The sequence below is a fragment of the Homo sapiens genome, chromosome 2 (genome assembly GCF_000001405.40).
Source record: "Homo sapiens chromosome 2, GRCh38.p14 Primary Assembly".
NCBI classification, from domain to species: domain Eukaryota; kingdom Metazoa; phylum Chordata; class Mammalia; order Primates; family Hominidae; genus Homo; species Homo sapiens.
This window is the reverse complement of record NC_000002.12, coordinates 38200911-38218879: the sequence shown is the minus strand read 5'-3', so window position 1 is coordinate 38218879 and position 17969 is coordinate 38200911. Positions and strand designations below refer to the sequence as shown.

Here is a 17969-nt window from a genome sequence, read left to right as displayed (position 1 = left end):
TGACAGAAAAATGAGTCCTTGTGTACAGCCACAGCCTTTCCCTGGAAGCAGCCACCTTTATGACAGTCTCCCCATGAGGAGGAGAGGTTCCTCCAAGCCCCAGGGGTTTACAATCCCATGTGATTCCTCGTGAATAGTCCTGCCTGCTGGCAGGGCTGGGGCAGCACAGAGAAGGTCTGGGGACACTGACCCAGAGCAGATGTGTAACAGCTCAAACTGCAAAGCCTCTCAGGAAACCATCAGCCAGAGGCACAACCACAGCCATTGTCTGCTGTTCCCTGCCAAACCTCCACCTTTCCTCTGTCATCTTCATCTCTGATTCCCCAGAGGACCCGTCTCTGACTACCAGACCTCAGCGCTCCCTGGGAAAGGCCCCCAGGGAGGATTTGTCCCTGACTCCTCCTAAACATCCCAAACCAGCTAGACAGAAGGAGCACATTTTAGTAAAGTATTGGGTGTTTTTATAATAAAGCATACGGGGGAAAAAATGTATTCTTTCAGGCGGCCGATAACAAGAAGTAGCTGAGGTGCCTTCACCCTATGAGGGCACAGGGAGAAGGTAGCAGTCTGCGACCTGGAGGAGCACCCTCACCAGGACACGACTTTGCTGGCACCCTGATCTCAGACGTCCAGCTTCCAGACTATGAGAAATAAATGTTTGTAGCTTATAAGTCAAATAAAAAAGAAAGAGACAGAAAGAAAGAAAAGAGAAAGCAAGAGAGCAAGAAAGGAAGAAGGAAAGAAAGAAGGAAAGAAAGAAAAATAAAGGAAGGAAGGAAGGAAAGAAAGAAAGAAAGAAAGAGAGAGAGAGAGAAAGTAGTTGAGTGAGCCTGTGGATCCCTGTAGCTTAATTGGGACTGAATCATAAGACAGGGCAAAACTCTGGGGATGTGTTGCAAAAACATTGACTCTGGGTGCCAGCCTCAGCCCTGTGCCTGTGAGACCTTAGGCAAACTGTGGTTAGTTAATTCCGTTAATTAACCCCCTGAGCCACTGATTCCTTATCCTAAAAACAGGGAAATGCCTACCTCACCCAATCTTCTATTAGGCAAATTAATGAACTAACATAGGGAAATTACTGGCACACGGTGAACACTCAGAAAATATTAGATTCTTTTCCTTTGAAGGAGGCATTGAGGATGGCAAAGAGGCTGCTACTCAGATTCAGGGACCGGCAAAACGAGGACAAATATTGATGGAGTTCCCACCAACTGCGGGAGCCCAGTGTCTGCTGGCTGGTGCAGACAAGCACACAGGCGATTGGAGACAGGGTGATATGGACCATCTGGAGCTTGTGAGCTCATATGTGGGGCACCTACTCTTGGGAGTAGAGGGAAGGGAGGGTTCCAGGAGGGGTCCCTGTAAGCCAGGTTAGAGGATTAGTAGGAATTAACTGGGAAAAGTGTATGAAACAGCATTCTGGACAAAGGGAACAGTTAATATGAAGACTTGGAAGCCAGAAATCCTTGTGAATAGTGGACTGCTGGTAATAAAAATAATAAAAACACCAGCTGTGGACCTACTATGTACTAAGCACTCTGCTAAATGTTTTATATACATTGTTGCCTTAATTTTCACAACAACTCTTTGAGCGATGTATTATTAATCACACTGTTTCACAGAGGAGGAAACTAAGATCCAGAAGCATAAAGGAATCTTTGTAAGATCATGGAGCTTGCAGAAGATGGGGAAGGGCTTTGATCAAGACTCCTTGATCAAAGAGTCATTGCCAGCTCTTGCTCCTAACCACTGTACAGAGCTGTCATCAGTAACTGGTTGTGCCTGAGGAAGTACTTCCTGTAGATGTTGGGGTGGCCACTCCTCTAGGCAAGCCTGTTAAATCAATGGTTAGGTAAACAGAACAGATCCATGAAGCCAGTCTAACTCTGCCCTTACACCCTACCTGGCCACCATGTAGATGCCCATTGGGCCAGTGCAAAACCACTCCCATGATTGACCAAAGAACTACTCACAGGGATGCAGTCCAATAAAGGTGTGTTGTGGGGGGCCTGCCTCCCATGGATGCTAGGCACACAGACTGCCATGTGAATCCTGCCCTCCAGGGTTGTGAGGAGTGGCAGTCTTGTGCCATTTGGATGATCTGGTATGTTGGCATTTGTTGAGAAAGTGAGTTACTGACTAGGTCTTGGAGCTCATTTGTTTTTCAGATTAATGAAGAAAACATCTTTCTTGCATTAGAGTTTGGCCCAATTTGAAACATAGTAATGGCGTTAGGTGATTTGGGAAGGAGGGGTGGATACTGGAGGAGACAGATAGTTGTCATAATTTAAGCAAAAATATTTTCCAGTCTTCAAGTGAGAAGTACATTTGACACATAGAAAACGATTGGTGCTTGTGGAGTTCTATCTATGTTGATACTTTTCTCTGTTAAATTTCCTGCCATTATCTTAAAAAGTAAAGACCCATTATGAACACATGAAAAGATGCTGAACATCACTAGCCATCAGGAAAATGCAAATCAAAATCACAAGGAGATACTACTTTGCACTCAGTAGCATGGTGAGTACAAAAAGGCAGGTCAAAAAGATGGGTAATAGCAAATATTGATCAAGATGTGGAGAAATTAGAACCCTCATACATTGCTGATGGGAATGGGAAATGGTGCAACAGTTTTGGAAAACAGCCTAGTAAATCCTCAAAAGGTTAAACCCAGAGCTACTGCATGACTCAGCAGTTCTACTTCCAGGTATTGCACCCAAGATAAATAAGAACACATGTCCACAAAAACAAACACAAACACAAACAAAAAAACACCCTTGTACATGAAGATTCATAGCAGCATTATTCATCACAGCCAAAATATGGAAACAACCCAAATGTTCATGACTGGTAGATGGATAAACAAAGTGGGGTGTATCCCTGCAATGGAATATTATTTTGCAATAAAAGGAAATAAAATAGTGATAAATCTTGAAAATATTATGCTAAATTTAAAAAATTTGTTACAAAGAATTATGTATTACATGATTCCATTTATACAAAATATCTAGAATAAGCAAATCTGTGCAGATAAAAGGTAGATTGGTGGTTGCCTGGGGCTGTGTGTGGGCTGGGGAGAAATGGGGAGTGACTGCCAATGAGTATGGGGTTTCTTTCTGGCGTGATGAAAGCATTTTAATATTGAATGCGATGTTCATACAACTCTGTTAATACACTAAAACCATTGAATTGTACACTTTCAATGAGTGAATTGTATGGTATGTGAATTACATCAATGAAGTTGTTTAAAATAACAGCTATTATGAGCTATAACCCCCACACATGGGCTTATCAACACACTTTCCTCTCTATTCCATAGTCATTCTCATTATAGCTCCTTGGGGCCAGCAGAAAAGGAGAGTTGTGTTTACTAGATAAGGAAACCAGGCACAGTGGGACTGTGGCAGTTCCCCAAGCTCCATCGTTTTGCAGAAGGTTCATCTGGCACCCTGATCTTCTGGCAACTAGTTCCAGACATATTTGACAGACCTGATTTTCAAGCTATGCTCTATAGAACCTCTTCAAGGAAGGCTCTTGGGTGGGGGGCTGTGGGATGGCGTGGGCATGGACAGGTACAGTTGCTGATCAGGCCAAGCTCTGGCCTCCTACTTAACTTGAATCAAAGCACTTCTGGTTTTAAATCAACGCATTGAGCTCGTGCATATGCTTTCTTTGGAAAAAGGGTTACCCAGCCAAAATTCACTGCCCTTAGATGTATGATTCTTAGATTGAAAAGATAATGAGATAACACTTCCCTCAGCCTCAGCATCCAAAGTGCTGATGTGTCTTCAGAAACAATGTCCACATTTCAAACAAAAAGATGATAACTTGGGCTGCCAAGGTCTTATTGCTTTCATGTTGATTCTTTGCTGAGGAATGCATTCACAAGGTGTCTATTTACAGCACTAATTGACAACAAATAAGTGATAAATATTGTTCTTGGCCAAAATATATTCTGTTGCTAGAAAACAACACAGTGTGTTTATGAAATTACCAGAAAACACTGTCACCAAACAGTAATATTGTATAAGAAGTCCTTGTCCCCAGAAATGTTCCTATTCTCACCCCAGATTGTTTTTAGAAGCAGAAGTTGTTTCTCAACAAAATCTAGTTCTGTTCTCAATTTGTCTTAATAAGGAATGACATAAGTTTACCAGACTAAGGAGTCCATTTTTCATTCCCTGGGTTTAATCTGTGCAGACAGAAAGCTGTAAATATCATAAGTAGTTGTAGCTGGCTGGCTGGCCTTGAAGGGGCCCATTTGTTAAGGACCATGGTTCGTTGATTTCATGTGTGTCTTCCAAGGGCCAAGAGGCTGTTTGCCCATCATCACTATGCGGTCTGGGGAACAAAAGCCGGGGGCCCAGAAGCCTGTGTTGAAGGATGACGTGACCTTTGACCACCACTAGAAAGGCCTGGAGGGAAAGAGGCAAAGTCAGGCTCCAGTAAGGTTTAATGACAGATCTTGTTAGGGTTAAAAAAACAGCTCAGGCATCCAGCTGGGGCTTCATCTGGGGAGGTACTCAAAGGGCCTTCAGTGACAGCCACCCAGGCACCATGCATAACTGCACCAGGTCTGCTAAGCTGTCATTCTGAGCCTGCTCTGCTGAGGTCTGCCACTCCGCATCAGTCTGAGTCAATAGGAAGATTCATTCTTTTTTTTTTTTTAAATTTCCTGTTGCCACCAGCATATGTCATTTGTCCTGATGCTATGGTGAGGTTTTGATTGCGGAAAGGCACTAATGTTGGTTTTTCTTTTATGAGAAATAATCATCAAGAGAGTGATACAGCATGCCTTTGGCATCTCTAGATTTAGCACTGTGGTTCTCACTGATCAGGAGCCTCCCTGGAGGCTCATGCTTGGTGGTAATTTGGCATTTTACTGAGGCACGGATTGTAGCAGCCCGGGACCTGGCACCTGCTCCCTGCAGCAGCACCAGGCTCTTGATTTTCTCTGTGTCTAGTAGCTCTGGAGGAATGAGGATGGTGTTGTGGAAAACGAACATAAAGGGAGGAGGAAGCACCAGTAAAAGCTGAAATGTGATGAGGTGGTATGAGGATGTGTACAGGAAATGCATGATGCTACAGGAAGTGTGATGTGAGAGAAAGCCTATGCAAACATGCCCTCTTTCCAGTATTTGAGGATTCTTGAAGGTTTGGACATATTATTCTCAAATGTCAAGAGTCTGCTATAAAAAGGAATGTGATACATAAAAAACTTCTTATTTGGAAACTATTATAGATTCATAAACACTTGTAAGAAATAATACAGAGAAATCTTGTGTGTCCTGTACCCAGTTTCTCCCAATGGTAACATTTTAAAAATGATAATATAATCCTACATCCAGAATATTGACATTGATAGAGTTAAGATATGTAACATTTTCATCACCAGAAGGATTCCTCCTTTTTTTTTTTTTTTTTTGTTTGTTTGAGACAGAGTCTTGCTCTGTCACCCAGGCGGAGTGCAATGGTGTGATCTTGGCTCATTGCAACCTCTGCCTCCCAGGTTCAAGCAATTCTCCTGCCTTAGCCTCCTGAGTAGCTGGGATTACTACGCCTGGCTAATTTTTGTATTTTTAGTAGAGACAGGGTTTCACCATGTTAGGCTAGTCTCGAACTCCTGACCTCAGGTGATCCACCTGCCTCAGCCTCCCAAAGTGCTGGGATTACAGGTGTGAGCCACCACGCCCAGCCAGATTCCTCCTTTTATAGCCATACATACTTACCTCCCATCTTTACCCCTTCCATAATCACTGACCAACATTAATTTTTTCTCCATTTCAATAATTTTGTCATTTCAAAAACATTATATAAATGGACTCATACTGTATGCAACCTTTTTGACTTCCCTTTTTTCATTCAGCATAATTTTCTGGAGATTCATCTAGGTTGTTTTACGTATCAGAAGATTATTCTCTTTTTCATTTCTCAGTAGTATTCCATCATATGGATGTACTACAATTTATTTAACCATTTTTCCATTGATGGACATCTGGGCTGTTTCCAGTTTTTAGCTATTATGAGAGAAACTGCTATAAACATTTGTGTACAAGTTTTTGTGTGAATAAGAGCCTTCATTTCTCTGGGATAAATGATATGCCCCGGAGTGCAGAAGAGTAATTGCTGGGTTGTATGATAGTGGCATATTTAGTTGTTTAGAAACCATTAAACTGTTTCCAGAATAGCTGTACCATTTTCTATTTCCATCAACAATGTATGAATGATCCAGTTTCTACACATGTGGCCAGTATTTGGCAGCATTGCTATTTTTTATTTTAATCATGCTGATAGGTGTGTGTGTGACATCTCATATGTGATTGATTTACTTTCAACTTGCCTATATATTATTTTGAGTGAGTTTCTTGTAGACAGAATATAGTTGGGTCATGCTTTTTAATCTACTTTACCAATCTCTGCCTTTCAATTGCTGTATACAGACCATTGACAGTTCATGTAATTATCGATAGACTCAGAGTTAAGTCTGCTTGCTCTGTTTTTCATTTCTCTGCTTTCGTTTTCCTGCCTTCCTATGAATTAAACATTTAAAAGAATTTTATATTGATTTATCTACAATTTTTAAAGTGTGTTTCTTTGTTTAACCTTTCAAATGGCTGCCATAAGTGTTACATTAGATATACAACTCATCACAGTTTACTGTTACTGTCATTTTACCAGTTTGAGTGAAATATAGAAACCTTACCTCCATTTATACCCCTTTCCCTCTACCTGTTTATAATTGTCTTAAATATGTTCTCTACACACATTTAGAACATTGTCAGGCAGTGTTATAAATATCAAATATCAAACATAATTTAGAACATTCATAAGGAGAAGGAAAGCCTATTTTATTTACCCACATTACTGTTTATTGAATTCTTTCTTCCTTCCTGATGTTCCAAGTTCCTTATTTTTTATTTTTCTTTTGTTCAGAAAACTTCATTTAGCCCTTCATTTTAGAATGCTTTAGTTTCCCCTCCATTCCTGAAATATATTTTCACTAGGTATAGGATTCTCAGTTGACAGTTCTTTTCTTTCAGCCCCTGGAAAATATTATGCCTCTTCCTTCTGGCCTCTATGTTTTCTGATGAGAAATCTGCTGGCATTCTAATCGTTTTCCCCCAGGTAAGGTGTCATTTTTCTCTAATTGCTTTCAAACTTTTTTTTTAATTTTTAGCTTTCAGAAGTAGGTTTATATCTTTTTGCCAAAGCTAGGACATTTGCAGCCCTGTTTCCTTCAAGTGGTCTCTTTCAACCCTCTTTCTCGTCTCCTTCTGGAACTCTGATGACATACATGCTAAATCTTTTGTTATTGTCCCCCTATTCTTTGAGGCCTTATGCATATTTTCTCCCACTCTATTTGCTAAGTAATTTCTATTGTTCTATGTTCCAATTCACTGATTTTTTTTCTCTATCTTCTCCATTCTGCTGTTGAGCCCATCCCCTGAGCTTTTTATTTCAGTTATTTTATTTCTTAGTTCTAAAATTTTCATTTGCTTCTCCTCTATTTCTTTTACTTCTTTCCTGACATTTTTTTTTTTTGCTGGGAATTTATATTTTTGTATTCATTTCAAGTATGTTTATAATGCTTGTCAAAGCATTTTTAATGTGACTACTTTGAAATCTTTGTCGAAAACATTTTAACAGCTTTCTCATCTTGGTGTTGGCATTTATTGTTTATCTTTAAAAATTCAATTAGAGATATTTCCAGTTCTTGGTAGGATGAGTAAATGTTAAAGTTAAAATCTGGACATTTTATATTATCAGACTCTGGATTTTATTCCAATATTTTGGTTTAGCTGGCAAAATATTGGCTGGCTTTCCCTGATGTCACTGTGTCAGGGAAAGGTTGCAGAGTGCTCTTTTGTTAATTTCAAGTAGAGATAGAAGTCTAGGTTCCCCACTCAGTCTTTATGAATTCTTGGTAGGGTGGCTTCTCATTACTGCTGAGCAGAGGGAGTTCCAGCTCTCCATGTTGTCTCTGCTGACACTGTGGTAAGGGTAGCCTCATTACTGCTGGGTGATGATTAAAGTCCCACCTCTCTACCTGACTGATACCACCTTATGGGGAGAAATGCCTTGTTACTGCCAGGTGGGACTGGAAGAAGTTCATGTTCTCTACAAGCTGTCCACTGGTACCATGAGGGAGGAAGGTGGGTTGTTATTGGCCAGCTGGGATGAAAGTCCTAGTTGCCTTCTTGGCCTTCTCTAATACCACCCTGGAAGAGGTTTGGAGTGCCTCGATAGAGCCTTGCAAGGGTGGAAATCTAGGCTCTCACTTGCCCTTGCCTGTGTGGGTGAGGATGGGCTCACAGGTTTTTGTTGTTGTTGTTGTTTGTTTATTTTTGTGAGGTTTAGCTAGGGTAGAGTGGTTATTGTCTAAATTATCTAAAAGTTGTTTTGTCTTTCTATGCGGCTCTTTTCTTAGTCCTTTGGCTTGAGGAGAGTAAGCTTTTGTTGGGGGTGTTTTTTGGTCTGTGTTTGTTGGCATTTCTAGGTTACCTACTTCTTTAGTTCCAAGTCTGGAGTATATAAGGCAGAAAGAAAACCCATGGAACTCACCATATTTTTCTATGGGTATCACTGTCTCTAGCTGTTCTACTGTCTTCTCTTCACCTTTCAAAGTGATCTTACGTTTGCTTTATATATACTATCCAGCATTTTCACTTGTACTTAGAGGAATGAGAAAAGCATATCTGTTTCATCTTCCTGGAAACAGGAGTCTTCTTTATTTCTTCAATTGTTCATTTTTAAAAAAAATCTTTTTATTATATTTTAAGTTCTGGGATACAAATGCAGAACGTGCAGGTTTGTTACATAGGTATACGCGTGCCACGGTGGTTGGCTGCACCCATCAACGCATCATCTACATTAGATATTTCTCCTATTGCTATCCCTCCCCAGCCCCCCACCCCATGACAGGCCCCAGTGTGTGATGTTTCCCTCCCTGTGTCCATGTGTTCTCATCGTTCAACTCCCACTTATGAGTGAGAACATGTGGTGTTTGGTTTTCTGTTCCTGTGTTAGTTTGGAAGCAGGAGTCTTGACACATTTTTGAGAAAAGAAAAAACTATCCACTCATTATCTATTCCTGACATTTTTTTTGTTTTTATATATTCCTTTTGATTTCTTGTCAACATGTATACAATATTGTACAAAATAGTAATCAGTCTATGTACCTTTTTATTTCCTGTTTTTTCATTTATTATATTTTAAGATATAATAAACATTTCCCTATGTGTTTATATAGACTTCATAATTACTATTTTAATAGCCACTAATACTTACGCTGTTTTCAGGCCTATTTTTAAAAACTTTTTTTCTATTGGTTATTATTGCTACTTCTTTTTTCTATTAGAACCAACACTGCAAAATTACATATAGCTTTTTATTTGGCCTCTTTTGAACTTCTTCCTTAGGATAAATTTCTAGGATAAATGTATCCTTTTTTAGGATACATTATTTTTAAGTCAAAGAATATTTTTAAATGAATTTTGTGATATACTGTTTGGCACTCTCTACAAGGAACATAGAAATTTATGCTCAGTGTTCAGTGTAGTAATTTCTTCACAATGTCATATCTTTTGGATTTTACATTAGTTCTCTGTGGTTGTGGTCCAGTCTCATCCTTACTTGAAACCCTGAAGGACTCAACTTGCAATACTGAGTTACATCACGTGCATTTCAGCCAGTGGCCTTCCAATCAGTGGCACCACTGGAAAATAAACTTTAGATAGAACTGTTAGTTGGCCTTCTATGGATAATTACTTAGGACTCCTCCTCCTCTCTCTTTTCTGAGATGAATTTTATTGGAGAAACTTCTTAACCTGAGAAACAGAAACTCACCCCAGGCATTACTTCTATAAGGTGAGTATATCTGCATTCAAACTTCCCAGAAAACTGAAAAAAACCAATGTTTCTTTCTGGATCAGATAACTTGAGGTCCCTTCCTAATGGGGACCTAAGCCAATCTGTAGCCTCCACAAGTGAGTACTTCGGAACTAGAAAGGTTGGACATACTCTAGTGTCATATTAGAAAGCTGGAGAATCAATTTGTGGCCTTTTGGATGGACACTGGCTGCTCATTAAAATCCTCTTTTTGCATCTACTTTCTCACCATACTTTGTAGCCTGATTCTAACTACTAAATCCAGCAATCTTTTCTTATACTTCTCATCTTTTTGAGCATTCTAGCCACTGTTCAAATGAATTAACTTTATGAAGTAGTATCAACTAATAGCCCCATTTTATAGATGAAAATTGGAAGATTTGAATCCAGAAATTCTGGCTCCAAAGCCCACACTCTTAACCACTGTGCTGCTTTTGTGTTGATGATTAGCTGCCCCTGTCTCTTCTTTGAAGCATTCTTTAGCCTGGCTTCTATGTGCATGCATGTCTTGGTCCTTTTCCATCTCTTTGTTTTCTTCTTCCAACACCTACAGGTAAACATTCACCAAGATTCCTTCTTTAGCTTTCTCTTCCCTTTGCCTTTATCATTATCTGTGACTGTTGTAAGGAATGACATATTTATCTCCAGTAATATCCTGTCAACTCCAAGTATACGTCACTTTTCTTCCTGTTGGCTGAACATCTGTATTTCCACAAAACCCATCATTTTCAATTTCAACTGCATCATCTAACCATAAAACATGATTTTACAGGGTACATTTTTTATTGACATATAACATAAATGCAGACAAATGTACCAAATAATAAGTGTACATTTGAGGAATTTTCATAAAGCGAACACACTCTTGTAGCCAGCACCAAGATAAAAAAAATAGAACATCACCAGCACTTCAGACACACCTCTTGTGCTTTTTCCAGTCACTATCCACTTCACCCCAATAGTAAGCACTATCATAATTTTTAACATTATGAATTAGTTTTTCCTGTATTTGAACTTTATATAAATGTAGTTGAACTTTTGTGCTCTTTGGTGACTATCTTTTTTCATTCAACATTATGTTTGTAATGTTCCATGTTTTTGCATGTAGAGGTAGTTTGTTCACTGTATAACAGCAGTCCCCAACCTTTTTGACACCAGGGGCCACTTTCGTGGAAGACAATTTTTCCATGGACAGTGGGTTGGGGGAGGTGATGGTTTAGGAACAAAATTATTCCACCTGAGATCATCAGGCATTAGATTCTCATAAGGAGCATGCAACCTAGATCCATTGCATGTGCAGTTCACAATAGGGTTTGTGCTCCTACGAGAATCTAATGCCATCACTGATCTGACAGGAGGCGAAGTTCAGGTGGTAATGTTTGCTCACCCACTGCTCACCTCCTGCTGTGCAGCCTGGTTCCTAATAGGCTACAAACTGGTACTGGTCTGTGTGGCCTGGGGTTTGGGGACCCCTGCTGTGTAATATTCCATTATGGGAACATACCACTATTTATAAAGTCCATTTTATTGTTGATGGATATTTTGGTTGGTTTGCCATGTTGGGATGATATGAATAATGCTGCTTTGAACATTCCTGTGTAAATGTTTTTAGTGGTTATATGCATTCTCTGGGTTCATGCCCAGGAATGAATTGTTAACTCTGTATTGTCTGTTTTTGTCTGTTTTCTTTCATTACTCATAATGATTTTGTGATTTGGCCATTTTGCTTATGTCAATAGTTCATCACTATAGTTAACGAATAGTATTCCATTGTATGATATGATACCATTATTTAACTATTCACCTGTTGATAAATAGTTTCCAGTTTGGGCTATCATAAATAAAGCTGCTAAGAACACTCATGTGCAATCTTTGTGTGCACGTACATTTTAGTTCCTTTTGGTTAAATACTTAGAAGTGAAATGACTGAGTTGCAAGGTAGGTGTATAATTAACATTTTAAGAAGCTGCCAAATTGTTTTGGTGGTGGTTGGATGTGTTGGTCCATTCTCATGCTGCTATGAAGAAATACCTGAGACTGGGTAATTTATAAAGGAAAGAGGCTTAATTGACTCATAGTTTCTCATGGCTGGGGAGGTCTCAGGAAACTTACAGTCATGGCAGAAGGGGTCTCTTCACAGGGCAGCAGGAGACAGAATGAGTACCAGCAGGGGAAATGCCAGGTGCTTATAAAACCATCAGATCTTGTGAGAACTCACTCACTATCATGAGAACAGCATGGGGAAAATCGCCCCATGATTCAATTACCTCCCACAGGGTCCCTCCCAGGACATGTAGAAATTACGGGAACTACAATTCAAGATGAGATTTGGGTGGGGACACAGTCAAACCACATTATTGTACTATTTTATATTCCCCTCATTAGTATATGAGTTCCACTTCCCCATACTCACAAACACTTGGTAAAAAGATTAGTATGTTCGATCTTTTTTTTTTATTATTTTTTTTATTTTTAAGTGAATCTCAGGCTCATTGTATTATTCGATCTTTTTAATCTTAGGCAATCTAATGGGCGTGTAGTGGTATCTCATTAAGGTTTTAATCTGCAGTGTATACATATGTCATAACAAATGATGTTGAACATCTTTTCATGTGTTGATTGTCCATTCATATCTTGACTTTGGTCAAAAGTCTGTTTACATTTTGTCGAGTTATAAGCATTCTTTCTGTATTTTAGATGTGAGTTCTTTACCAGATAAATATGTTGTAAATATTTTTATGAGTCTTTTGTTTTCTTATTGGTGCTTTCCAAAGAGTTAAAGTTTTAAATTTTGATAAAGTTCAATTACCAACATTTTTTCTCTTATGGATAGTGATTTCGGTGTCACATCTAAGAAATCTTTGCTTGCCTTAAGATCTCAAATATTTTTCCTGTGTTTTCTTCTAGAAGTTTCATAGTTTCACATTTCACATTAAGATGTGGAATATATTTTTAGTTGATTTTTGTGTATGGTAGGGAGTAGGATTGATTTTTTTTAAAAAAATGGATAGTTTATTGAATGACATTTATTAAAAAGACTTTATTTTCCCCCATTGAGTTGCCTTGGCTTGTTTGTCAAAACTCAGCTGGTCTATTTCTGGACTGTATTCTGTTTCATTGATCTATATGCCTACCTTTACCATAATATTAAACAGAACGAATTACTATAGCTTTATAGTAAGTACTGAAGTCAAATAGAGTAAGTCCTTCAACTATGTTCTTTGTTCGAATTACTTTGGCTATTCTAGGTTCCTTGAATTTTCATACAAATATTAGAATCAGCTTGTCAATTTTTATAAGAATGCTTATAGAAATTTTGATTGGAATTGTGTTGAATCTTGGGAGGAATTTGGGCAGCATTGCCATTTTAACAATATAGAGTTTTGTAATCCATAAATATGCTATCTCTCTGCATTTATTTAGGTCATAGAAGTTGGGGTGGGAGACAAGATGTTTTGACTGTAGTGCTAAACCACCATAAGTCTCAATTGTTCAACTGTTGGTTTCAAAAGTTGGAAATAATTCTCCTCAGCTACGTCCACTGCTCCTTCTTTCTCCTTTCGTCTCTTCCTTATTTTTTTTTTCCTCTTCTACATCTTTTTCACTGAAAGCAAATTTACCACAGGCTTGGTGTTTAATTCATATCCTATTTCTGTCCTTCTATTGTTGAAAATTTTTATATTGTTTTAGTTTCTAAATATCAAGTCCATTTCCCCAAAGAGGTGGATCTTTCCATAAAATGGATTCTCAATCAGCTGATTAAGATTTTCTTCACCTTGTTGCTCTTGAATTCCCTATGCCTGGCACAGTGGTGAATGGTTGTAGACTACTCCATGGATATGCACTGAAAAGGAAGACTGCAGTTTTCTAGATGCTTTAGGCCAAAAATCCTGCTCTTGTGATCAAAAGGGAGCAAATTGTTTCAAAAAACCTTGTTTATCTACTAAAATCAATTTCTCTTGAGTAATCTCTTAATTCATGTCTTCACTTTGGTCTTACAGGTGCCACATGTAAACACGTATCAGTTAGTAGAAGAAAATATTTTCAGTCAAATGGAATATACGTTCTTTACAAAGTGTACCATAGAGTTCTTTGATTTTTGTCTCGCTTGCAGACTTTTTGCCGACCACATCGATGATCATAGTTTTTATATTTTTTGGTCAGGTGAAGATACTTTAAGAAATACTTTTAATAAATGTGATAGCCAGCCTGCAAGATGGCTCCCAGAGATTCTTGCCTCCTGGTATTCGTGCCTGTGTGTATTCACCTCCCACACTGAATAGAGCTGACCTGTGTGACCACTAGGATATTGTGGAGATGGTGGGGCATGACCTTGGACACACTAGGTTAAAAAAGAATTTGTGGGTTTTTTTTTTCTCTTGGATTATTGCTGTAGGGGAAGCTAGCTCCCATGTCGTGAGGATATGCAGGCAGCTCTGTAGAGAAGCTGATGTGGCAACGGAGGCCTCCTGAATGAAACTAACAGTAATTTGCCAGACATGTGAGCGAACCAAATTGAGAGGGATCATCCAGCTCCAGACAAACCTTCACATGATATCACAGCTTTGGTCAACATCTGCACTGCAACCTTATGAGGCTGCCTACAGAGACTATATGAGATAATAAATGTTTATTGTCATTGATGCCACCATATTTTGTGGCAATTTGTTATAAAGCAATTAATTAACTAGTACAGCTAGTTAGTAAAGCTTGAAAAATCTTTCTTAAATCTCATTATAAAAATCTTTATGTAATTTTATTTTCTACTGTGATGTCACTAATTTTTGAGTTAATTTGTTATTCAGCAATCAATAACTAAAACAACTAGTTAGAAAGACTTGAAAGAAATGTTCTTAAATCTCATGACAAAACTCCAATATAACCTTGTTTAATATAGTGATAAGCTCTTTAAATAGAAAGATCTGAACTGTTTTTGCAAGACACGAGTGATTTTTGTTTTAGTGACATGGCAAACGGATAGGTGTTCCTTCCAGTTGTCCTGGGAGAGGAATTAAGATATGCAGTATGAGGTGCGCTCTCATCCTCACCTCTAGTATGAGGTAGAGGAGAGCATAATGGTGATCTCTTTTCAGAGTCCCAGGCACTAAATGAAGGTCAAGAGAACTCCAGGGTTTCTTCTGTGAGTATCTCTGACTCTGAAAACTTGGGACATTTCTCCATTGTTTCATGGATGTATTTTGATGTGGCAAAAATCCTTCCTTTGTGCTACATATCGGCATTAAATGATTGAGGTGTAGACTCTTGTGAAACTTTCATTTAATTACGCATGAAGCTCTATAGAATTTCACCCACAGAACAGGGGTTGTTTTGTCAAGTGTTCAAGACCTCAATTTGCCGTTGGCTCACCCCCCAGCGCAGTCATGCGATTAGTCACGCAAGTAGTCACGAACACCCTTTACCATAAAGGAATCATCGCTGACGGCCCCACCAGTGCTCCTTCCCCCAAATATGGCTCTGAAAACTAAATTCAAACATGTGTGTCAGTTCAGACTTATTTTTCATGTTTGTTTTGCCCAAAGCATGGACCATGTCAGAGAAGATGGAGACACCTTCACGGCCTGTTAGTCACATCTCACCAAAGCTTCTCAATGGGCTGTCAGACAAGAAAGGAGCCTCCTGTAGCCATCTTAATCAGCATCCCCCATCTGTGAGGTCATCGGGATATTTCAAACAATCTTCAGCTCTCATTAGTTGAGTGCGTTTCACAGGCAAGTCCTTATCTTTTGTAACTTTTGCTGCCACATCCTGAGAAAGGCCTCTCTGCAGAATGACACTTTCCCTATGGGTCAGCCCGCCATAATGAGCCACCAACTGAGGTGCCCTTTGCACTCACTAGCTGTATATGTTGATATTAACCTTTCGTGTTGCGAGATGTCGCTTTTACCCTTGGCTTCTGCCATGTAAGTCTCATTATTTCTAATAGGCTGTGGCAATTAGGGTCTTGGGGCTGCTGATCGCAGCCATGTGGAGCGGGGAAGGGGCACTGGGGAGAGCAGTTGCTTTTTCTTTCATGAACAATGTGATGCATAGCTCAGCCCAGATCTGCAAACAGCGAGCTGTAGTAGACCTCCGGCCGAGGATGGGAAATTCCACACCCAGCGCTTTCACATGTCCTTTCTTCACGCCAACTACTGGCTATTTGCAAATCCCTTTTGTGTAGAATGACATGCTTGGCAGATATTTCAGCACATTGGATTTGGCCTAATAAGGAATTTATTAAACAAGATTATTTGGGGATAAAATGGATACATTCAAAGACACTCTTTTTTTTTCTTTTAAAGATAGTTGTCCGGAAAAGGAAGAGGATGACACTGATGACCAGCCGTCTTGGGTGGTTCACAGGCTCACTAAGGAGGCAGTGTTGAGCCTGACGGATCTGTGAAGGCCCCTCCGACTTGTAACTGTAAAATGATGACTCTTGATGGAACTCTACAGTTGTTGACACCTGGTGGGCCACCTACAGCTGAAGGTAAATAAAAAGCTGTTTCTTCAAGGTTAGAACAATAAATTGGTAGAATCCTAATAGGGATAAGGGAATGAAGAGGAAAGATTCCACAGAAGGGCAAGTGCATAAGGAAAATCTACAAATAACGAAAAACATAACAGAGGGTCAAGCTCTCACATTCTCTTCAGTTCTTTGACCTGAAGCTCTTACTGTATTAGAAAGATAGCAAAACAAAATGAAGCATGATTTTTGCTTCAGACTAGAAGATGTTGAAGGCTAAGGGACAACAGCCCAGAGGAAAGACATTAGCTTATTTATAGGTAGCAGAGCTTGAATATTCTACATGGGGGCAAGATTTTTCCAAAGAAATGCAAGAAAAAGCCCCTATATTAATCTGCTGTTTATGAAAATAACACTTGGGAAAGCCCCTGCAATGAATGTCTCATAAATTAAGGGCATAAATTCAGAAATCCTAGTGTGATACTACTAAAATAATCCCTCCTGGCAATGGAGCAGTATGGCCTGCTGAGAGCTCCTTACTCCTGATAGCTGATTTATTACTTGCTCTGCAAAATGACTCATTTAAAATATAAGTTCATTTCAGCTAGGTTGGTCACAGTATAAATATGTGGTGGTGGCAAGGTGGAGAGTGCAAAATATATAGCCAGTAAACATCAAAAATTAATTCTTCCTTGAATAGATAAAAAGTTTCCAGTAGAAAGCATAAGAACCAATTTTCCTTCCTTCCTTCTCTCCTTCTTTTTTTCCTTCCTTCCCTCCCTTCCTCCACAACCATTTAATCAGCTTGTGCTATGAGTAAGCATTGGACCGGGAGCTGATGATACTATGCACCTGGTAATGAAATCTATGGCCTCTTTGCATTCATAAGTGTCTTTTCCAGGCTACTCCCCCACCACCCAGCTCCAATTTTATTCTTCTCCCTTACTCCATGCCTGGGAAAATAGAATATAACCCACATGGAGGGGAGGAAACTATTGGGGCACAGAGGAATTCTCAGTAGAGTTCAAGGGCATTTACATATTTATGGCATTGGCTCTTTGGTTTTTCTTTTTTGGATGCTTTTCTTCCCATTCGAACACTGCTCCCCAGACCTCTGGAGCAGTACAAAGGGCCTGGGGCTGCCTCACACATAGCAGGGAGGATTCTGTCCTGGGAAGTCCAAGCAGGAGCAGGATAGGACTCAGGGAAGGATGGCTTGGGCCAGCTTCTCTCAGACCCAGGGAGAAGAGCTCTGGTTCCTCTTATTTCTTGGGATCATCCTTCCTTACTTTTTTGAGTTTTTAAGGCTTTCCCACCTATCTATCATCTATCTATCTATCTATCTATCTATCTATCTATCTATCTATCTATCTATCTATCATCTTTCTGTCTGTCTACCTCTCCATCACAGTACCTAAAGGGGACCTTAGAAGGTAATAAAAATGATTGCAAATGACTAAACCCATTGAACAACTGCCAGATGAGAAAACTGAAGCTCAAAGAAGGCAGGTGACTTTACCAGGGTAATGCAGTGTCTGGTAGAAGCTGCTCACAATCTTAAATCTGTAGTCTTTAAATGCAGCATTTATTGCCTACGATGTTATGACTCTTGGAA

The 17969-nt window shown here is 39.4% G+C and overlaps 1 long non-coding RNA gene across 2 annotated transcripts in view; it reads left to right on the top strand.

Moving 5' to 3' along the window:
* Positions 1-17969, top strand: part of LOC102723739 (uncharacterized) — a 55283-nt gene that overhangs the window by 20711 nt on the left and 16603 nt on the right. The window contains exon 2 of one of the 2 annotated variants that reach the window (XR_007086289.1): positions 16191-16378. This is a non-coding gene — a long non-coding RNA (uncharacterized LOC102723739). Of the gene's footprint in view, positions 1-16190; positions 16379-17969 lie in introns of those variants that run through there. The other variant, XR_427020.4, reaches the window with a different exon arrangement.